Below are 22,098 nucleotides of genomic sequence, written 5' to 3'. Positions count from 1 at the left end.
GTCATCTATGCTATAGCCTGAATGAAGATAGAATACACTCTGCTGGGGCGGTGGAGTGAGGGTGCATGGAGACTCACGGGGAAAGCTAAGAAGGCAGGACAGGAGGCTGGGGTCTGTCAAGAAGGCTCCAGAGCCTTAACTCTTAATGACTTTCCCTCCATCTCACTCTGAAGCTTTGATACTCATACCATTAATTTCTAAGAACCTTCATTTATCCCCAGTTATTTGAGAACTCCCCAGATAGGAGGCTGGGACTGAGGATGTGAAGAGGCCACCACAATATCCCCAGCATGTATTAGGGGTGTGGCAGCAGGAGGGGCCCCATACTAGTCAATGGATGGACGGTGGGTAGGTGATAAAGGCCGGGCCTCTGCCCTTAAGCCCACTGCCTAGTAGAGGGGACAAATAAGAAATTGGATTGTAACAATACAGGAATATCAAAGACTACAGCAGGACTGATCAGAGAAGGCACCCCACTGGAGATCCAGACCTGTTGGGGAAGGCATCCAGAGGAGGGGTCACTGAAGCTGGGGCTGAACAGAGAGCAGGAGATAACCTGCTTCAGCACAGGGGGCAGAGGGCCCTGCCCCTGCACAATCCATTGTGATTGTTTATTTTACACATGGGAGCGAGTGAGTGCAGACCCCGTCCACACGTGGGTGATGCACATGGATGCATCCATGGGAACCTCTGCAGAGACCCGAGCCGCCTCTACGCTGCTACCCACACGGGTGCTCAGGTAATGGGGATCTGAGGACAGGTAACAGGGAACACACAGGGCTTGGTGTCACCATTTGTTTTTATCTCCTCTTTGCTGAGTGGTGCTATAGTGCAAAGGAACAAAGCCCTAGACTTAAGAGCTGGAAAAACGTGTGGCCACTGGCCTGGCAGGGAAAGCCCTCTGGGTGGACACACAGCCTGGTGAGCAGGGCTCAGGTGGGTTTCTCCCTCACTTACCCTTGAGGCTGGCACCGCTCTAAGCTCACACTGCAGGCAGCTTCTGGTGGCCCTGGTGTCTGAGCCAATGGCAAGCGCAGCAGCCCACAGCCAAACTCCTGGGAGAGAGGAGGGCAGCCCCCAGCAGGGGAGGGGAAGGCGCAAGGCTCTCTCCATGGAGCAGGGAGAAAAATAACAGTCACTCCCAACGCATGGGCTGTGCTCAGAAGTGTAAGCCCTGCGAGTGGAATGCCACACTTGACCCCTCAGAGCCCTCCCTGCCAGGCCTGTCACAGGAAGGCTGGAGAGGTTACCCCACTCGCCCTAGGTCACGCAGCAGCTTCATGACAACAGCCCGGAATGTAAACTCAGGCCTCCCCCAGCCATGACCACTGTCTATCGGGGCACAGCCATAATTCTCTCTCTGCAGACTTTCTGGGGAATTGGGGAGGACCAGCCAGCATCAGCCTTGGATGCTGTGGGGGGGCTCCAGCCACACCCTCTTCTGTGGGTCCCTCATCCTTCAGGATGACAGGAGCAGACAACCCTCAGGGCAGAGCAGGGCCCACCAGCCACTGGGAAGCTGCCATGAGCCATCCAAGAAGCCCCAAGCCAATGTAAAATGGTGCAGCTGCTTTGAAAATACAGTTGAAAGTTAAACCTAGAGGTGCCATGTGACCCAGTAATTCCACTGCTAAGTATGTACTCAAGAGAATTGAAAACGTATGTTCACATAAAATCTTGCACATGAATGTTCACAGCAGCATTTCATAGTAGCCAAAAGATAGAAACAACTCCAGTGTCCACCAGATGAATGAATAAATGTGGCATGCCCATACACTGGACTAGTGCTCCATCATAAAGAGAAGCATCAAGACAGGCGATCCCATGGATGAGCCTTGAAAACATGCTGAGTGAAAGAAGCCAGGCACCAAAGGCACATACCACATGATTTCATTCCATGAAACGTTCTGAATAGGCAAATCCTATTTAGAAAGATAGAAAGTAGATTAGTGGTTGCCAGGGGGCGTTGGACGGCAGGGAAACAGGAGTGACTACAACTAACGGATGGGAATCTTCTGGAATTAGATGGAGGTGATGGTTGCACAGCATTGTGAATATAGTTTTAAAAACCCACCAAATCATATGCCTCAAAATGGTTAAAATGGTGAATTTTATCTCAATTGCTTGTAAAGCAGCCGCCCTGAGCCCCAGCCCGGCTGGCGGCCCTGGCATGGGCAGCCCCACGGAGAGCCCGAGCTCGGGCTGCAGGAGCACATACCCCATTAGTGTCCTCAGGAGGGAACTGGGGGTGGGAACGGGGCTCCAGAGAGTAGGACCATGGATTAAATAGGAGAGGGAAGCGTTAGGAGCAGGAGAGCATCCAGGACGCAGCCTCAGGGGCCAAGGCAGGGCCGCGGGGTGAGGGCCAGCTTGAGCCTGGTGGCCCAGCACCGGGAATTCCTGCCCCTGGACTCTGAACGGTTCAATTTCTCACCAAAGCCTTGGGAAAGGATCACCTAACTCTTCTCTGGGGCTCATTCATGGATGTGTGTATATATGAGAGTATGTGTATATGAGCATGTGTGTGTATGAGTGTGTTTGAGAGTGTGCGAGTGTGTGAAGGGGTGTGTGAGTATGTAGGGGGTGTCAGTGTGTGGATGTGGGGTTGTGAGAGTGTATGAGTGTATAGAGGGGTCTGTATGTGTGTATGCAGGTGTGTGAGTGCGGGTGGGTATAAGCATGTGTTTGTCAGTGTTTGAGTGTGGGTGTACGGGTGTGTGCTTGTAAGCGTGTGTTTGCGTCAGTGTGTGAGCATGAGGGTATAGATGGTGTGTGTCTATGTGTGAGTGTGGGTGTATGGATGTGTGTAAGCATGTGTTTGCATCAGTATGTGAGCATGACTGTATGGGTGGTGTGTGTCTATGTGTGAGTGTGGGTGTAGGGGGTGTGTGTTTGTGAGCGTGTGTTTGTGTCAGTGTGTAAGCATGAATCTATGGGTGGTGTGTGTCTATGTGTGATCGTGGGTGTATGGGTGTGTGTTTGTGAGCGTGTGTTTGCATCAGTGTGTGAGCATGAGGGTATAGATGGTGTGTGTCTATGTGTGAGTGTGGGTGTATGGGTGTGTGTTTGTGAGCGTGTGTTTGTGTCAGTGTGTGAGCATGAGTGTATGGGTGGTATGTGTCCACGTGTGAGTGTGGGTGCATGGGTGTGTGCCAGTAAGGGTGAGTGCGGGTATATGGGTCTGTGTTTGTGAGTGTGGGTGTCAGTGTGTGGGAGAGTGCATGGGTAGATGTGAGTGTGTGGGCCCACACATGCCCTTTTCAGGAAGCAGCAGCTGAGGCCTTACTGAGTGCCGAGAGGAATTGTCCCCTCCACTCCAGGTTCACTGGTGCACCTCAGACTCCCTGACAGTGGAGCAGGGGGCTGGAATCCCCTCCACAGCCTCAGCCACAGCTGGAGATGTGAAGGTCCCCAGCCTGAGGAAGATTCCCCAAAAGCCTTTAGCCGGCTGCTAGGCAGGCTCTGAGCACCTGGCCAGGCCTCTGAGGCACCTCTCTGTGTGCTGAAAACTAGACCCAAAGAGCTGAGCTGAAGCCTCTGGCTTTAATCAAGCTGTGAAATGGAGACAGGCACGCCTAGAAATGCTTCTCCCCACACTGGGCTCAGCCCCACGACTGGCCTTCAACTAAAAGTACAAGTCACAGGTTTCCAAGAAAGTCTTCTCCTGCCCCTGGTCTTTCTAAGGAAGGCCCGTAGATGGACCAGGGCCTGGCCTCACTGGAGTTCCAGCCCCGGAGCCTGGTGTGGGGCAAGAGTCGCAGCCACATTTCTTTGGGTCTGAACTCCAGCTCCGTGTGCTCAGTGGTCTCAGCTTCCCAGCTGCCCACCATGGTGGCTGGTGATGCAGCTGGTTCCAGGCTCACAGCTCTGGAGCTGGACTTCCCCAACGTCTCTTCCTAAAAGAGGGGACCTTATGGTCTTTGGATTCAGAATCGTCCTTTAAAAAATGGAGCCCAGGGGAGACTCAGCCCTCTTCTCAACCCTGGTGGAGAGAAGGGTGCCCTGAAATCCACGCCAGTGCTCAGAGGCCCCGCCAGCCCTGCCCTCCCCACCTTAGGCCTGCAGAACCCTCTGGCTCTGGTGCCACAGCTTCTCTTATGAGTGATACTTGGAGAGCAACTGGAGCTTCAACGGATGCACTGTCTGTGAGGACAACTAGCTTCCAGGCATTTCTCACACCAGGCCCAGTCCCATAGGGAGCTGGCACAAGGATGCGGTCCAGTCATAACCAGATTTCACCCATGGCCTCCTCATCTCCTCTTGGCCAAAGGAGCTTTGTGACACTGTGAAGTTGACCAGCGGGCCTAGGACCAGCACTTGTCACATCCAGTTTCATTCGCCCAACCATAAGTCTTGAGTGCCTCTGGTGTGTAGCCTCCTGCACTGGTCGCCTGGGCGCAGGGACACCCCTTCCCTCAGGGGGTTCCCACCCTAACATGTCAGCAGTTACCCTTAATAATACTGTAAGGAGAGCTGCCATTTATCCAGCACCTACTACATGCCAAGCCCTATACTGGGATTTTCACAGATACCATCACCATTACATATAACATTTACAGGTAGACATGGATCATCTCTGCTTTACTGATGAGGAAAATGAGGGCTCAGAAATCTTAGGTAACTTGCTAGGGTCACACAGTAGACAGACTTGAAGGTAGGGTTGTAAAATGGTCTACGGGACACAAAGCTGACCATGACGCCCAGACACCAGGCAGCCTCCCTGCAGGTGCCCTAATAACTCCCTTCCTGTGGCTCCCAAGGGTTGAGTCAATTTTAGGGGGGAAGAACTCACTGCAGGCATTCTACCTTCTGCCTTGCCTCAGAAATAGCCTTGAGAAGCAATGGTGAGCTCCTCAGAGACCTCTGGAGTCCCAGGGACCACAGTTCAGGACACAAGTGACTCCTCTGGCCCCTAGCTCCAGCCAATTACAGCAGCTTCTAGAACGCAATGGGGTTTCTCTGCCAGTACAGCAGGTCTATGTGGCCCAGTCCCATTTTACAGATAAGAAGACTGAGGCCAGACATGGACAGCTTAAGGACAGAAGTGACCGGGAAACACTCCAGAGGTAGGGAGAGAAGCAGCACACAGGCCCCTACCTACAGCCTACCTTCATTGTGCAGGTCCCCGTCAGGTTCTGCCCACTCCTGCTGGACGGCCTCCCGGCGGTACACCACATGTGTCCTCCCGCTGGCCTCCTTCTCCTGCTGGCCCCGCTCCAGAGGCTCAATGAAGAAGTCGGTGCTGTCTGTGCGGATGAGGCCCGCCTGAACCAGGGACGGCAAGCAGCGGGAAAGAGAGAAATAAGAGGCATGAACACACAGTACAGCCGACAGGCGAGCATCTGTGAATGCACATATGTGACCCTACATGCTTGCAGGCTCTTCCTCCAGGACCTTGAGGAGCCCTGGGATTCCAGGATGTTCTATGAGGCCCTGGCAGGGGAGTGGGAGGAGGTGGTAGGAAAGCTGAGCAAAGGGGCCCACCCTCCTTTCAGCAAAGTAGATCCACTTTTACAGTGTTGTCTATCCATGGGGCTCTACATAAAATTTCATTACATCAGAGCTTCCATTGCTTATAAAAAGCAGAGGCACAAAAGCCACTGCCATAAGGCACATGCACATACACCAAGGCACTGCACTCCAGCCCGAAGCACATCACAGGGGTTTGCTTTACCTAGAGGCAGACAGGAAGATCCTAGGGGCAAAGGCTCATTATCCCTAAGGTGCGTGTTTGTCCCCCACTCCAATATGAAGCGCTGTTATTTCAGGTTGAAAGCACGTGGGTGTGCACATGGCAGGATGGGGGTTGGAGGCCGGGGAGGAGGGCAGCTAATGCTCATTCACGATAAATGAGCCAGGAATGCATGTTTTTAATCTAATGATTCCCTACATCAAATATTCCCTTTAAAAAAATCAGGTGTTGGCCTTGGAAATAAAAACAAAAAAATATGTTGGCAAAGTCCAGAAAATGTGTTATTATCCCCCAGTGAAGGCGGTCATCACAGGGGCCAATGAAACATACAACTAGATGTGGGTTCGTGTATGTGTGTCTGCATATGCACACGTGCACATACACACACACGCACACACACACCATGTCATCCTACAAAGTACCAAGAGCAGCCCACCTACCGTGGTGGATGGAAAATAGTAGGCATTATTTAGCAAATAAATATTTGTTGAATTCCTTCACTCGTTCGACAAATATCTATTGAGTGCCTACTACATACCAAGGACTGGGAGCGCAGCTGTGAACACGAAGCAGTGAATGAAGGAAGTGTTTTTATAAATTCACTAGACCTTCTCCATTTGAATTGGAACTCCAGTGACAACACAACTCCATTCCACCCATTTTCCCACCTCCTTCTGTTCTGAGGCTGCATCTTAGGAGCCCCCTCCAAGTCCGACTGAACACCCATCACTAAGCCTCCAGCAGCAGCCAACCTTTTCTTTGCCCCTTCTAGCTGTTTCTGTGGATCAAACAGAAAACATCATTTTGGAGCCAAACCAAGATGGTTGCCTTCTGTGCTTCATAAACAGGCCCAATCAGGAGGCCAAGAAATGTTCCCAGGGACAAATGGCATTATTGGAACAAATTTGAGGCTTCCCTGTCACCATTTTGTCAGGTAACACTCAACTGTCTGCAAAAGTTCTGGTGTGCTTGTTAAAATGTCAACGTCAAACCTTATACTGAGCATCCATGCATCCATGCAGAGCACTTTGACTTTATACCTACTGTGTGCCTCCTATGGGCAGGGACAAATGGAAAAAATAGGCCCAAGAGCCGAGGGCTGCCAACGTCCTGCCCGGTGCTATGACGAAGTGTGGACACGTGTCCCAAAGGAGGTGCCATCTGTGGGTCCTGAAGGATGACTATCCATCAGGTTCCTGGTTGCAAGGATTAGAAATTCAACTCAAACCCCCTGGCCTGAAGGGGAAGGTACTAGCCCCAGGACACACCTAGGCAGGGGCTAAGACTGGAAGTGAGAGGCCCAACACTCTTGCCACCACTCCCCTCAGCTCCTCCTACACCAGCTTCATCCTCCCTCCTCCCAGACAGGCTATATGTCCCCTGTCCTTGCAGACACATCTCCTCTCTGCCACCAGAGACAAGGAGATTCTCCCTTCACAGTCCCATCCAGGCAGAGTCACAAGGTCACCCAGGGACTGTCAGCCCAGGTTTCCACAGCAGGCAGAAGGGAGAAATTGTTAGGGTGCAAAAGAAACCAACCCGGGAAGGAAAGAGCATACCAGGTAGAGGGGAAGGACCCCCAGGTGAGGGTGGAAATGCAGGAAGGACAGTGTGGGGAGGGGACCAGGACATTCAGGCTCAGGGACAGAGGTTGAGCCCAAACCTGGACAAAAAGTGGTGGCCAAATCCAAGAGCCTCTGCCACTGTACGCCTGCAGAACTCCCCACAGGAGGCCTGTCTTCCAGCTGGTGGCTCCAGGCCCGGGACACACCTCCAAGGCCTACCGCAGCTTTGTTGCCGTGAGGGCCTGTGATGAACTCTCAGCCAAGCCCTGCATGATTTATCCCATCCCGCTTTCTGCACCCGTGTCTGATACCCAGAGGGGCTGTTCCTGCCCCTGGAACAAGCAAGCAGGAGACAGCATGAGTCAGAGGCCACTGCTCCACCCAGGCTACAGGCACACAAACCTGGCTGGTCCAGGGCAGTGGCCTGCACCGTCTCGGTCCATCACGCCTCTCAAGCTGCCTAGCAGAGGGCGAACTCTCCAGACCAGGAAGTGGAAGGCTCTGTTCAGCCCCTCCCACACACCAGGCACCTGGTCAAGGCCCTCCCCCATTCTGGGGCTTGGTTAAATGGCTCCACAAAGAGGATCCTTCAAACCTAGCATTCCCTGCCCCACAGCCTAGTGACTCCACGTGGCCTCCAGGGCTCAGTGTCTCATATGAGGGATACAGTTTCCAGAATGAAGCCACTGCCTTCCAGCCCACCCCCTCCTTCTGGCCCACAATCATGGGCTACAGACCTTTCAAGATCATCGTGCTCGTCCCAGTCTGAGGCATTATACTTTGACAACCTCCCCAGTTAGGAGACCTCTAGCTTTTACTTGGATGCCTCCAGTGACAGAGAGCTCCCTCCCTCAAGATGTAACAGATTCTGTGTAGGGACACTCCTAACATTGTATTCAGCATGAACACACTTCCCTACTTTCCATCCTTTATAAATAGTTTTCTTATCATTGTTATTAACAACAGTACCTGCCGCTCATATTTTTATATATTATCTTATTTCATCTTTATAGCCCTATAAGGTAGGCAGTAATGTTAGACCCATTGCACAGATGAGGAAATAGAGGTTCAGAAGGGTTAAGTAACTGGCCCAAAGTCACCCAGCAAGTAAGTGCCAGCATTCTTAACTACAATACTGTATTACCTGGGTTCAGCCCCCAGGCCTGCTTCTGCTGTCAGGAGCCACTTGGAGCAAGAAAACATGGCTTTCCTAGTACCACCTGCAAATCCCTGGGCCTCTGGTCTGACCTTGCTGAGCAAGGACACTCATTCTCCAACTCTCCACCTCTGGGCAAAACCCTCCCATGGAGGCCAGCACACCTCTCACCAAGGATATGAGAAGGGAGGGCAGGGCACAGCCCATAAAAGAAATGGTCCCTCCCACTCCCCAGGATTCTTACCCCTACGGAGACCATCCTCATCACACCCTCACTGTTCTCAGCAGAATGGGAACCCGCAGGACCCTGGGTCCGGGGTCCAGCCTCCACACTCTTAGGCCTCTCCCCAGGAAAGGGTTAAAAGATCTGTCTTTCCCCATCCCAGTAAACTGTTTAGGACAAAGAAGCCAGACCCAAGCCCTGTCCTACGTAATCTGAGGAATAAGTTTCTAAATTTCTATGCGACTGTGGATCCCATCAGCCCCCAAGGGATCAGGGCGGAACCTCCCCAGAGATGGTCCTTGTCCCATTGCGTGCATCCTACCCAGGCCTCAACAGGCAGCTCTCATCCAGGTCTGGGCTCTGCCTGGGCCGCAGAGACTCTCCTCCTAGACAGAGAAGACAGGAAGGCAGGCTTGGCCACCAGACCGGGAGGCAAGATGGGCCCAGTTCCTTCCCCCTCAGACCTTGGTTTCCCTGTCTGCACAATGAGAGGTTTGGCCCAAGTTCCCTTGAATCTCTGCCGTGGCCAGGAAACCAGGCACCACACAGCATAGACTGGCTGGCAGTGAGCACTTTCTGGCTCTCTGCCTCCTCATTAAAGTACTCCCGTCTCTCAATTTATTGAATGTTTATATTTCTGAAAAGTGGTGGCTAATTTTAAAGTGCTAAAATCAAATCAAATTTCTGTATAAAAAAATCAAGAAAAAAGGAGAAATAAATTCTGGTAGGATGGAAAATAAATATCAGCCATATTGAATTTCCAACTATATCTTATTCTTTTACAAACAGTAAACAAATAGGAAATATGTACTAGATAGGTTCTTCACACAGTAAAACTAAAACAAAGAATCATTGATTACATCCAATTGAGCCACATACCCATAGGCCCTTGTCCAATTTCCCCAAATGGAAATTCTCCAGTGCACAAATCTGGCCACTCTCAGCTGGGCTAAACTCCCTTTAATGTGGCTGCTTCTGAGGTGCCTTCCCTGGGAGGTGTGTGGCTGAATGATGGTGAGGGTGGAAGATGGGAAGGACTGTGGATTCTCCAACATGACATCGTTTTGGTTGCAAAGGTAACACATTCGGCTGCCTCTTCATCCAGAGGTCTCCAGGCCATGTTGACAGGTTTTCCAGTATGGGTTCCCCTCAGGGAAAGCCCCTCAGGGTGTAAGCCCAGGACACCCAAAGAAGACATGGTCACGTGGCAACTAGGGAGGCGAGTGCTGGCTTAGAAATCACCTTGTGTCCCGCTGTGAACCACAACTGAGCAAGTGCAGCGGGTCACCCACAGCTGTCTACTATCAGGATGAGGTCCCAGATATTATAGCAGGTAATTGAGGCCAAATTGTTTTGAAATGAGTACGTATGTGTGCATGTGTACATTAAAGTACATCTATTCTCAAATTGCATGTATGTGCATGTAAACTGGGAGGCAAGGGTACCTGGAGCCAACAAAGAGTTCTCCAAGAGGAGCACAGAAGAGATCCCCAAGGACTGGGAGACATGTCAGACATGGGCAGGTACAGAGACAATGAGCAAGGACCTGGCCTGGGGTCCAGACAGTTGCAAGTGGCTTGGCTCTCAGGAGACAGCTGCAGGCCCTGGGAAAGGGGGATCCTAAGTCCCCTCGCCTGCTGCCGCTTGGACCAGCCTACGTTTGCCAAATGCCCAGAAGGGCTATTTCAAGATAGTAGCTTCAGTGAAGCCAGCTGAGGAGTGGGCCAGACTGCCTCTCCTTTCTCCTTCCAAGGCTGGCCTATCTGGGGCTTCCCCAGAGGAGAAAGTAGCAGAGCAGGCCACCTCTCAGCCAATCACCCCATCACCTCCCAAGGAGAGTGCATTCTTGGGTCTGAACTTGTTCTGGAATTTCTATCACAAGGGCTTTATTTCCACCGACACCCCTTGGTCAGCTGTGCTGTCTCAGGTTCTAGGCTTCCATCAAACCCAGCTTGAAACTGTTCCACTGTAGGAAACAAAAGAAAACCCAGCAACTGGATGCTGGGGTGATACACACAAGGATCAGAAATGGCTTCCACCAGATTCCTCAATGGGTGGCTGCTTCCCCTCAACAGGGCCACCTGCATCTGCATGCACTGTTCCCAGCCACTGCCAGCCACGCTCCTTGGCTAGACCACATGGGCTGCTACAACCCAGAAACCTCGACCGCAGGTGGCTCCTTCTCTTCCCCCACTGCCCTGCTCACCTAACCCTAGCACTTGGCTCCAGTTATTATTAAACTTCATCGGGACCTCCAAGGTGTGATCCTTACATCCTCGCTTCCCTTCTCACCACCCTGGACATCTAGGTCTAGTTGCACAATAATTCTCTTGCAAACACCCATACTCTCTCACCCACTTTCCCTCTATCCTGCTGTCCCAGGGAAGCTTCTCCACCCTGGTTCAGCCCAACCATCCACTTACTCCACGCGTGCACACAGGTGCCTACTGTTCTCACTTGAAATCAGCAGCTCACCTCACATGAGCATGAAGCTGAGGTTCTGTTGCACTTCCCTGTTAAGACTAACAGCTTAACGGTCTGTGTCCCAGCTCTCCCAAATGGCTCAGACCCCCAACACTGCCCCCCTGCCCAGTCTCATACTCCAAGGCTCCCACCACCCTGCTGCGCACTGTCCTCCCACAGCTGGGCCCCTTCTCCTCTTCTGTGGCTGGATGTGGTCCCCCTACTCCGTGCTCAGGATCACCTCTCTGTTACCTCCTCAAGGACTCAGCTCCTGCAGCTAGCACCCCCTTTCCAGCTTCATCACACTCTCCTTTCTACAAGACCATTCCTATCTGCATCCAAGCACACTCGAGTGTCCCGCATCTTTGAAACTCTCTACCTCCCATCCCTGCCCAGCTACTGCCCATGTCACTGCTTCCCTCCACAGCAGAAAGCGTTGTCTACACTCACCACCTCCATACCCCCTGGCTTCTCCTCTACCCACCTCAAGTGGCCTTCTAGAGCCACCACTTCCTGGAAACTGCTTACCTGTGACCACAACATGGCCATAGCCAGCAATCACTTCTTTGTCCTGGTCTCACACAGCTCCTCCCATCATCAGCTCTCCCTGGCATGTCCCCAGGACCATGGCTTTAGGTACTGCATGACTGCAAATGACTTCCAGTTTATATCCCCAGCCCTGGCTCCTCCTGAAATTCCTTTGTGATTATCCAACAGCCTCCTTGATAGAGACTGGATCTCCACTGGTCATCTCAAACTTTGGAACAGAACTCTGGGTTTGACTTCCAGACCCACTCCTCCCCTTGTCTTCCCCATCTCAGTAAATGACACTGCCTTTTTCCCAGTTGCTCTACCCCAAAATCAAGGAGGAGGGACAGGCTCAGTGATCTAGGTCTTTTCAAGTCCCCCAACCCTGGTGGTTCCATCAGTCAGTTCAGCTGAAAGCAACACCCTACATAACCTGCAGGGGCCAGAACCTCTAATGGGCCATCCGGGGCTGTTGTCTCTGATTCACGGCAGGTAAGAGAGGCAGCCCCACCCCTCACACCCCCACACCCTGGAACCATGGCTCCTGCAGGGACTCTTCAAAGTGACCCAGATCTCTTCCTCCCTTAACATGTCCTTAAGTCTTTATGAATCACATACAGCTTGCTAAGCTTGATGGGGGTAAGGTGGGGGTGCAAAAAGACATGAGAGACCGGCCTCTCCTCTCCTGATAAGGGACTTGTATCTGGAATATATAAAGAACTCTTACAACACAATCATTAAAAGACAACCCAGTTTTAAAGTGGGAAAGGGATCTGAACAGACGTTTCTCCAAGAAAGATCTACAAATAGCAGTAAGCACATGAAAAGATGTTCAATATCATCAGTCATCAGGGAAATGCAAATCCAAACCACAAAGAAATAGGATGGCTTGAATCAGAAAGTCAGATAACCAGTGTTGGTTGGCAAGGATGTGGAGAAACTGGAACCCTCATACATTGGTGGGAATGTAAAACAGCGCAGCCACTTTGAAAACGGTCTGGCAATACTCCTCCAATGATTAACAGCATTACCACATGATCCAGCAATTCCCCTTCCAAAGTGTAAGCACCCAAGAGAAAGAAAACATATGTCCACGCAAAGAAAAGTTGTTCATAGCATTATTCCTAGTACTCAAAAGATGGAAACAAGCCAAATGCCCATCAATGGATAAATGGACAAACAAACTATATATATATAGCCATACAATGAAATATTATTTTGCCGTAGAAAGGAATGAAGTACTGGTAAATGCTACATGATGGATGAATCTTGAAAATATGCCAAGTGAAAGAAGCCAGATGCAAAAGGTCACATATTACATGATTCTGTTTGTATGAAGTGTCTTCAAACAAATAGAATAGGCAAATCCACAGAGATAGAAAGTAGATTCGTCACTGCCAAGGGCTGGGGTAATGTTGGATCGGGGGTGAATAGCTAAAGGCCACATAGTCTCTTTTTTAGGTGATGAAAATGGTCTACAGTTGACAGCAGTGGTGATTGCAGATCTCTGTGAATATAATTTTTAAAACCACTGAATTGCATATTTTAAATGGGCGAATTGCGTGGTATGTGAATTATATCTCAATAAAGCTATTAATTAAAAAGATAATATGCATGCATGGAGACGAGAAACATGCAAAGAGATAATACACAAGCACGGAGAGGACACACAAAGGGACGACTCACACAGACGACAAACGCTCCAGCAAACACTCATGCAGAGACGACACGCATGTGGCACACAGACTGCCTGCTACCACGGAAGCGGGAGTCAGCGAGGCTGGGATGAAAGCCTGCCGACGCTGAGATTTCATCTAATTCAAACCTGATGTGGAAGCCCCAAGCCACAGGAGCTCTGCTGGAGGCTGGGGCTGCCAAGTCTTCGGCCCAAGCCAAAAAAAGTCTGAAAGCTGATTCAGACCGAGCTGCAGCCTTGGGGACAGGCAGGAAGAAGGAGCTCTTGGAGGATGGGGCTGAAAGCTGCCAGACTTGTCCACAACTGGCACGCTCTGCCACGTACATCTGCACGGCACCCCATACCAGCACCATCAGCGCTGCCACAACAAGCCAAAGGTTCAAAGAAACACCAGGAAGCAGAGAGCCTCTGCCAGCTGGAGAGAGTTATCTGGGATGACCACTCGGCCACAGTTCCCAAGGTCATGACCTCTGCAGGCCCCACACCCTGGAAGATGCTGGGTGAAAGGCTACTGAGGTCTTGCTGAGCCCAGTGCATTTACAGCAAAAGTCTTTCTCAGTGGAGAAGCAATGTGGTGGGTAAATGCAGAGACCCTAGAGCCAGAGAGTTCCTGAGTTCAAATGCTGGCTCCACCACTCTCAGATCATGTAATCTTGGGACACTTACTTAACATCATTGTGCTTCAGGATTATAACCACAACCATCTTGTAGGGCTGCTCTGAGAAAGCAATATACATAAGGCACCTAGGATGGTCCCGAGCATGCCACAAGGGCCATATTAGTGTTTGCATCTGCGGCCGTGATTCTCATGATCACCATTGTCACTTTGAAGCATGCATGGAAGCCCCAGTGGCTCAGGAGGGGAGCCCGCAGGATCAGTGCTGGGGGTGACATTCTGGAACCACAGGAGGGTTTGCTTGTAGCCCCTGGCTCTGCTATGGCCTGTCTTTGACATGCTGATAGAGTTTGGATGTTTATCCCCTCCAAATCTCATGTTGAAATGTGATGTCCAGTGTTAGAGGCGGGGAATGGTGGGAGGTGATTGGATCATGGGGGCAGATCCCTCATGAATGGTTTAGCACGATCTCCTTGGTGGTAAGTGAGTTCTCACTCAGTTCACACAAAATCTAGTTGCTTAAAGTGTGTGGCACCTCCCCCATCTCTTTTGCTCCCAATGTCACCATGTGGCATGCCAGCTCCTCTTCCTTCCCACCATGATTGCAAACTTCCTGAGGCTCTCACCAGAAGCAGGTGCTGGAGCCATGCTGGTACAGCCTGCAGAATCATGAGCCAACTAAAATTCTTCTTTATAAATTGCCCAGCCCCAGATATTTCCTTATAGCAACATAAAAATGGACTACCACACATGCCCAGATGTCCTGCCTGTAAGTGGAAAGAAGTCCTCAAGAAAAAAAAAGAATACCAGTGGTTGAACATCCTAAGGGGAAAAGTCCTTACCCCCCAAAAGGGGACTGATAGAGGATGATTTTAAAGGTGAAAAAGACCTGCAGACAAACAGCTGGGCAGAAACATACGCAGCTGTTAGGGACTTGTCTTTAGGCAATAAGACTGTAGGCAATTTCTTTCTCTTTAAACTTTTAGGTATTTTCTAACTTTTCTATGATGTCCTTATCTCAAAAGGCACACCTTTTCGGCACAGAGTGTGTGCCTACCACAATGAACACAGAATCAACTCCCATTCCCTAAACAAAGTTTACAAAAAGGGAAGCAAACATAATGTATCTCTCCTTTTCTGTCATTCAACTTCCCTGCAAAGTAGTGTAGAGGCTTCGCTGGGGAGGGAAACACCTGGGGTTCCATCCCAGCAGGGTCCTTCCCAGCTGTGCGGCACCAGCCCTCTCTCAGCCTCAGATTCCATATCTGAAACCAAAGAGTGGATGGGAAGATGAAATAAGGCATGGGAAATGGCCCTCCTGGAGCCGGGTTCACAGCAGGTGGTGGTCTTTTCCTTTACTTCCCTCCTCCGCCTGGCTCTTCTGGTCTGAAAGACCTGACCCCAGCTACTGACCTGACACACAGTAGGCTTTCCAGGAGGCAACAGCAGCCATTCTTACCCCTAGATAGTCATTAAAATCACCTGGAGGAATTTACAAAACTACGGCGACCTCCCAGACCGATGAAATCAAAACCTGATGGGTGGGGCTCAGGAGTCAGTGCATTCTGGAAGCTGCTGGGTGATTCAGACGTGCATCCAGGGCTCAGAACCACTCATCCAAACCCTGGAGGCTTTCAAACAGTGGAATGGCAAGAAGAGGGACATTTAGAATGGCACGAAAAGGGACATTTAAGTGGTCATCCATGTTTCATAAAGAGAGCAATAGCAGCACAGGTGTGTTCATCATAACACCAGAAATGGGCAAGTAAGAGAGGAAACGAGCATACAATAAGTACGTTCCCTGAGAGGGGACAGAGGGAGTCCAGCTGGCTGGGTTACCGCACGCCTCTTACTTCATGACCAAGGGCCATCTAGACCACAAGTGATCCAGCGTGGGGGAAGCCTGGGAGGTAGAGGGAGCAGCTGTGATCTGCTGAGTGGCCAAGGACCAGTCAATGCCCTCACAGCCATCCAAGCTGGGGGTCCATAGTGCAGAGAGTGAGGACAATTATTAGGAGTCCCTCTGTGCTAATGTTGATGATGAAGGTGATGACTGGCTGTCCTCCAGCACCTTGGAGAACAGAGCTGCTCAGATCATCAAAAGCTTGAAGTTTTGTTTTTTTCTTTGTTTTTTTTTTTTTTTTTTTTTTAACAGGGTCTCACTCTGTCCCCAGGCTGGAGTGCAGTGGCACGATCTCTGCTCACTGCAACCTCTGCCTCCCAGGTTCAAGCGATTCTCCCGCCTCAGTTTCCCGAGTAGCTGGGACTACAGGTGTGCATCCACACCCAGCTAATTTTTGTATTTTTAGTAGACACGGGGATTCACCATGTTGGCCAGGCTGGTCTTGAACCCCTGACCTCAAGGGAGGCCCTGCCTTGGCCTCCCAAAGTGCTAGGATTACAGGTGTGAGCCACCGTGCCCAGCCAAAAGCTTGAAGTTCTTAAAGGAGGGGTGGTCACTTTTTATTTCTACTCCCCTTCCCCGCCAACAGGCAGATGTCCTGGCCCAGAGGCAGGACCTGTAGGTGCTCAGAGACTGCCTTCTGCTGCAAACCCCTCACTCTGGAGCCCAGCCAGACTCAGGGCAGATCTTGCCAGGCCAGCAGCCACCCTCAGATTCCATTCCCGAGTGCCCAGGAGCCAAGCGGCTCTGAGGCTTCCCCCTCTGTCACCATCATAGCCCACCAAGCTCGGCGAAGGAGCTCTGCCTGGCCCCTGCTTGGCCCTGAGTCCTGGAAGCAGCCATGGCTCCAGGATGAAGAGACAGGAAGCAGCCCTCAAGTGCCAGCAGGCGGTGTGGCTGCCAGGCCCTGAGCGGAGGAGCGGCACCCTGCGTGGAGGCCCTGCAGTTTGAACGCTGCCACTCAGACGCACACCAGCTGACAGTGAGCAGCACTGGGCAAGGTGCTGCACCCTTGGCAGTGGAGAACAGGCCCAAGAGAGGGCCCCACAGGTCACTGTCCCAGCCAGGCCTCCCCTCCGAATGAGCCCTACAGCAGCCTGGCCCAGTGGGTCGCTGACTAGTTTTAAACCATGCCTCCCACGTGAGATCACGCACATAAATGTTTATCACTGCATCTGATGCATAGCCAGGTCTGTAGTGAGCTGCCGATGAGGGACTTGGCAGTGGCCAAGAGACAAGTTCCCTCCAGAATGCAGGTAAGCATGGGAGAATGCCAGGCTAGCTCTAGCCCCACAAGTGGCTCCTGATGACACAATGACCCTCCAGGTATCACTGGCCAGTCTCCTCTGCAAAGGGTGGAAGGAGCAGATGAAACACAATTGGCCAGAAGACCCCAGACAGGTGGCATGGTCCTGTCCTTAACCCTGCCCAGGGACCAGCACCACTAGCACAGGTTCCAGATTTGGCCACACTCTTACAGTTCACCTGCCAGGCACTAGCAGCACAAATGCCCACACTGCAGCCACCAGACCCCCTCTCCAGACCCCCTCCCTTCACATGTTCACCTATGTCTCTGTAACTTGCTTCTCCTAAACCCTTGCCTGCAATAGCACATATTCACTCATTCATTCATCAGATGATGACTGAGAAGCCCCTGATCTAGGTGCTGGAGACACAGCCAAAAATTACTCTTTGCACGGAGCTAACATTCTACAGCAGGGTGGTGACAGGCGATAAATAACTAGAAATATGTGACATACCAAATGGAAGGAGCCATGGAGAAGAGAGGACTGGAGCTGGAAATTGTGAATAAGGTTGCCAGGGAGGACGTCGCTCTGAAGGTGACATTTGAGTGAAAGCCTGAGGGGTCTGAGGGGCAGGCCCTGGCAGTCCCTGGGGAGGAATGTTCCCTTCAGGGAGGGCAGTGAGGAGGAGCGATGGCGGCCCAGGGCCTGGCTGGCTTCTCTGGGAGGAATGCCGCGAACCATGGAGGACTCGGATTGTAACAGGACTGCCCAGGCTGCTGTTGGCGAATACACTGCAGGGGCAAGGGAGCGCAGGAAGGCGAATGTCATCATCTGGGAGAGACAGGAGGTGGCTCACACCACCCCAGTGCTGGTTATTCTTATTATGCTGTGTTGGTTTCCCTTTTAGAATTACCAGCAACAAAAATCCCCACAATGGAGCCACACAGGACCCGTTCTGTACCAGAGCCACAGTTCCCATGGGCCTCCGCGCCTTCGCCCCTGCTGTGCACCCCACTAGGAATGCCCCTTTCACCCAGCTCGAAGGCCACCCCATCACTGCTCCCTCCTTTGTGCTCTGTGGTGGTGGCTCTTGGCAGGTGCTCTATCCCTGTCCAGGTATCTCTGTCCTTCTTCTAGACGTGAGCTTCAGGGGGATGAACTGGTTGGTGCTGCACAACTGACTTTGGAATGAAACCATGCTAAACAAGCATCCTTCGGGTCAGGCCTTAAAACAAACTCCCTTGGGTATACCACCCTTGTGAGAGATCCGCTTCCCCAAAACTGTGGCCGTGGATTAGGGGACGGCATATTTTACCTAGCATCTCCCTACGCGGGGACTATGAATTTTGAAGTGACAAAGCCTCAAAGGCACGATGCACCCAGGCCAGCAGTCGGCCAGGCTGTGGAACACAGGCCTCTTCAGGCTGGAGGAGCTAACTCATAGAGTGTGGGCCCCTGCCAGCCTCAAGGGGTGGATGTGAACCTCTGCCTGGGGGACGGGAGTGGCTTGGAGGGGAAAGTGGCAGGCTGTTTCTGGACAGACCAAAGGTGTAAATATGTGGCTGGCTTAAAAGCAAAGGCTCTCCCTCTCCCTCCCCCTCCCCCTCCCCCTCCCCCTCCCCCTCCCCCTCCCCCTCCCCCTCCGGTCTCCCTCTCATGCGGAGCCGAAGCTGGACTGTACTGCTGCCATCTCGGCTCACTGCAACCTCCCTGCCTGATTCTCCTGCCTCAGTCTGCCGAATGCCTGCGATTGCAGGCACGCGCCGCCACGCCTGACTGGTTTTGGTGGAGACGGGGTTTCGCTGTGTTGGCCGGGCCAGTCTCCAGCCCCTAACCGCGAGTGATCCGCCAACCTCGGCCTCCCGAGGTGCCGGGATTGCAGACGGAGTCTCGTTCACTCAGTGCTCAATGGTGCCCAGGCTGGAGTGCAGTGGCGTGATCTCGGCTCACTACAACCTACACCTCCCAGCCGCCTGCCTTGGCCTCCCAAAGTGCCGAGATTGCAGCCTCTGCCCGGCCGCCACCCCGTCTGGGAAGTGAGGAGTGTCTCTGCCTGGCCGCCCATCGTCTGGGATGTGAGGAGCCCCTCTGCCTGGCTGCCCAGTCTGGAAAGTGAGGAGCGTCTCTGCCCGGCGGCCATCCCATCTAGGAAGTGAGGAGCGCCTCTTCCCAGCCGCCATCACATCTAGGAAGTGAGGAGCCTCTCTGCCCGGCCGCCCATCATCTGAGATGTGGGGAGCGCCTCTGCCCCGCCGCCCCATCTGGGATGTGAGGAGCGCCTCTGCCCGGCCGAGACCCCGTCTGGGAGGTGAGGAGCGTCTCTGCCCGGCCGCCCCATCTGAGAAGTGAGGAGACCCTCTGCCTGGCAACCACCCCGTCTGAGAAGTGAGGAGCCCCTCCGCCCGGCAGCTGCCCCGTCTGAGAAGTGAGGAGCCTCTCCGCCCGGCAGCCACCCCATCTGGGAAGTGAGGAGCGTCTCCGCCCGGCAGCCACCCCGTCCGGGAGGGAGGTCGGGGGGGGGGTCAGCCCCCCGCCCGGCCAGCCGCCCCATCCGGGAGGGAGGTGGGGGGTCAGCCCCCCCGCCCGGACAGCCGTGCCGTCCAGGAGGGAGGTGGGGGGGTCAGCCCCCCGCCCGGCCAGCCGCCCCGTCCGGGAGGTGAGGGGCGCCTCTGCCCGGCCGCCCCTACTGGGAAGTGAGGAGCCCCTCAGCCCGGCCAGCCACCCCGTCCGGGAGGGAGATGGGGGGGTCAGCCCCCCCACCCGGCCAGCCGCCCCGTCTGGGAGGGAGGTGGGGGGGTCAGCCCCCCGCCTGGCCAGCCGCCCCGTCCGGGAGGGAGGTGGGGGGGTCAGCGCCCCGCCCGGCCAGCCGCCCCGTCTGGGAGGTGAGGGGCGCCTCTGCCCGGCCGCCCCTACTGGGAAGTGAGGAGCCCCTCTGCCCGGCCAGCCGCCCCATCCGGGAGGGAGGTGGGGGGGTCAGCCCCCCGCCCGGCCAGCCGCCCTGTCCGGGAGGGAGGTGGGGGGGTCAGCCCTCCGCCCGGCCAGCCGCCCCGTCTGGGAGTTGAGGGGCGCCTCTGCCCGGCCGCCCCTACTGGGAAGTGAGGAGCCCCTCTGCCCGGCCAGCCGCCCCGTCCGGGAGGGAGGTGGGGGGGTCGGCCCCCCGCCCGGCCAGCCGCCCTGTCCAGGAGGGAGGTGGGGGTGTCAGCCCCACGCCCGGCCAGCCGCCTCGTCCGGGAGGGAGGTGGGGGGGTCAGCCCCCCGCCCAGCCAGCCGCCCCGTCCGGGAGGGAGGTGGGGGGGGTCAGCCCCCCTGCCCGGCCAGTGGCCCCGTCCGGGAGGTGAGGGGCGCCTCTGCCCGGCCGCCCCTACTGGGAAGTGAGGAGCCCCTCTGCCCGGCCAGCCGCCCCGTCCGGGAGGGAGGTGGGGGGGGTCAGCCCCCCCGCCCGGCCAGCCGCCCCGTCCGGGAGGTGAGGGGCGCCTCTGCCCGGCCGCCCCTACTGGGAAGTGAGGAGCCCCTCTGCCCGGCCAGCCGCCCCGTCCGGGAGGGAGGTGGGGGTGTCAGCCCCCCGCCCGGCCAGCCGCCCCGTCCGGGAGGGAGGTGGGGGGGGTCAGCCCCCCCCGCCCAGCCAGCCGCCCCGTCCGGGAGGTGAGGGGCGCCTCTGCCCAGCCACCACCCCGTCTGGGAGGTGTGCCCAACAGCTCATTGAGAACGGGCCAGGATGACAATGGCGGCTTTGTGGAATAGAAAGGCGGGAAAGGCGGGGAAAAGATTGAGAAATCGGATGGTTGCCGTGTCTGTGTAGAAAGAAGTAGACATGGGAGACTTTTCATTTTGTTCTGCACTAAGAAAAATTCCTCTGTCTTGGGATCCTGTTGATCTGTGACCTTACCCCCAACCCTGTGCTCTCTGAAACATGTGCTGTGTCCACTCAGGGTTAAATGGATTAAGGGCGGTGCAAGATGTGCTTTGTTAAACAGATGCTTGAAGGCAGCATGCTCGTTAAGAGTCATCACCAATCCCTAATCTCAAGTAATCAGGGACACAAACACTGCGGAAGGCCGCAGGGTCCTCTGCCTAGGAAAACCAGAGACCTTTGTTCACTTGTTTATCTGCTGACCTTCCCTCCACTATTGTCCCATGACCCTGCCAAATCCCCCTCTGTGAGAAACACCCAAGAATTATCAATAAAAAAATAAATTAAAAAAAAAAAAAAAAAGCAAAGGCTGACAAAGGCCTTCAGCCACCCGTTGGGAACAGAGTTTGCATTCAGACCAACTTGGTCCTAACAAACGATCTCACCTCCAGACATTTCTCTAAAAAGGGGCCTGTTCTACTGCCCCATCAGCCATGCTACTGAAAGCAGAAGAAAATTAGACTGCAGGGTTTTTCAATGTTCCATGACAAGTAATGTGTACATAACAGCAGCCCTCTCCCTCTCCAATATTTTGAAAATGGATAAAACAGCAGCACTGGTGACTTGAGTCTGAGAAACACCAGAAGGTTCCGTTTGAGCATCAAATCCCACTAACTGGGCCATTGACATCTGTTTTTCTTAGTTGGCCTCCCAGTTTCAGAGAAGACAATGACACGCAGAAGTTAAGCAGCCCTCCCCCTCATAGTGGGAGCCTCATAAACACCTCTACTCAGTACCCCCAGGCCCCTTCACCTCCCACCACCATTAGACCAATCACTTTTAGCATTAATCATTCTGAAGCTGTTGCCACAGCTACCATATCACGGGACAGCACACAGTTTACGACCTTGAGTTTCTGTTCACATACGCTTGGCCTTTCCACTGACAGGAGAGGCTGCCTGGAACTGCGAGAGGAACATTGCCTGGGAGTCAGGAACCTTGGTCCTTGCGTGCCCTGACACCTGACACTCACCTGCTATTCCATGACCCTGGATCTCCTCCCCAACTTGAGCCTCGGCTTCCTCTACTGGAAAATGAAGAGGGAGCTAGAGGGCCCCAAAGCCTTTTCCAGCCACAGCTGTCTCCAACTCAGGCCAAA

General features: G+C 53.6%; 1 protein-coding gene across 8 annotated transcripts in view, besides 6 other annotated features; it reads right to left on the bottom strand.

Moving 5' to 3' along the window:
• The window catches only part of ADAMTS14 (ADAM metallopeptidase with thrombospondin type 1 motif 14), an 89,936-nt gene that overhangs the window by 54,865 nt on the left and 12,973 nt on the right, over positions 1-22,098 (bottom strand). For all 8 annotated transcript variants that reach the window (XR_001747025.2, NM_139155.3, XM_011539300.3 and 5 more), the window contains exon 3: positions 5,109-5,265. Coding sequence is in view for 7 of the 8 variants with exons in the window: in NM_139155.3 (NP_631894.2) it covers positions 5,109-5,265 (157 nt within the window). In the remaining variant the exon portion in view is untranslated. The remainder of the gene's footprint in view (positions 1-5,108; positions 5,266-22,098) is intronic.
• Positions 1,013-1,513: an enhancer, noted in NCBI's record as "H3K4me1 hESC enhancer chr10:72465820-72466320 (GRCh37/hg19 assembly coordinates)". NCBI's record gives its function as "activates a minimal SCP1, AML or CMV promoter by ChIP-STARR-seq in primed H9 embryonic stem cells {active_cell/tissue: H9 hESC(primed)}" and the evidence as "EXISTENCE:reporter gene assay evidence [ECO:0000049][PMID:30033119]".
• Positions 4,723-5,222: an enhancer, noted in NCBI's record as "H3K4me1 hESC enhancer chr10:72462111-72462610 (GRCh37/hg19 assembly coordinates)". NCBI's record gives its function as "activates a minimal SCP1, AML or CMV promoter by ChIP-STARR-seq in primed H9 embryonic stem cells {active_cell/tissue: H9 hESC(primed)}" and the evidence as "EXISTENCE:reporter gene assay evidence [ECO:0000049][PMID:30033119]".
• Positions 5,223-5,724: an enhancer, noted in NCBI's record as "H3K4me1 hESC enhancer chr10:72461609-72462110 (GRCh37/hg19 assembly coordinates)". NCBI's record gives its function as "activates a minimal SCP1, AML or CMV promoter by ChIP-STARR-seq in primed H9 embryonic stem cells {active_cell/tissue: H9 hESC(primed)}" and the evidence as "EXISTENCE:reporter gene assay evidence [ECO:0000049][PMID:30033119]".
• Positions 13,071-13,570: an enhancer, noted in NCBI's record as "H3K4me1 hESC enhancer chr10:72453763-72454262 (GRCh37/hg19 assembly coordinates)". NCBI's record gives its function as "activates a minimal SCP1, AML or CMV promoter by ChIP-STARR-seq in naive H9 embryonic stem cells {active_cell/tissue: H9 hESC(naive)}" and the evidence as "EXISTENCE:reporter gene assay evidence [ECO:0000049][PMID:30033119]".
• Positions 13,571-14,072: an enhancer, noted in NCBI's record as "H3K4me1 hESC enhancer chr10:72453261-72453762 (GRCh37/hg19 assembly coordinates)". NCBI's record gives its function as "activates a minimal SCP1, AML or CMV promoter by ChIP-STARR-seq in primed H9 embryonic stem cells {active_cell/tissue: H9 hESC(primed)}" and the evidence as "EXISTENCE:reporter gene assay evidence [ECO:0000049][PMID:30033119]".
• Positions 18,750-19,394: an enhancer, noted in NCBI's record as "H3K27ac hESC enhancer chr10:72447939-72448583 (GRCh37/hg19 assembly coordinates)". NCBI's record gives its function as "activates a minimal SCP1, AML or CMV promoter by ChIP-STARR-seq in naive H9 embryonic stem cells {active_cell/tissue: H9 hESC(naive)}" and the evidence as "EXISTENCE:reporter gene assay evidence [ECO:0000049][PMID:30033119]".

This window comes from Homo sapiens, chromosome 10, assembly GCF_000001405.40.
Source record: "Homo sapiens chromosome 10, GRCh38.p14 Primary Assembly".
Lineage (NCBI taxonomy): Eukaryota > Metazoa > Chordata > Mammalia > Primates > Hominidae > Homo > Homo sapiens.
Note: the sequence above shows the minus strand (reverse complement) of the source record. Positions and strands in the feature narration are given on the sequence as shown.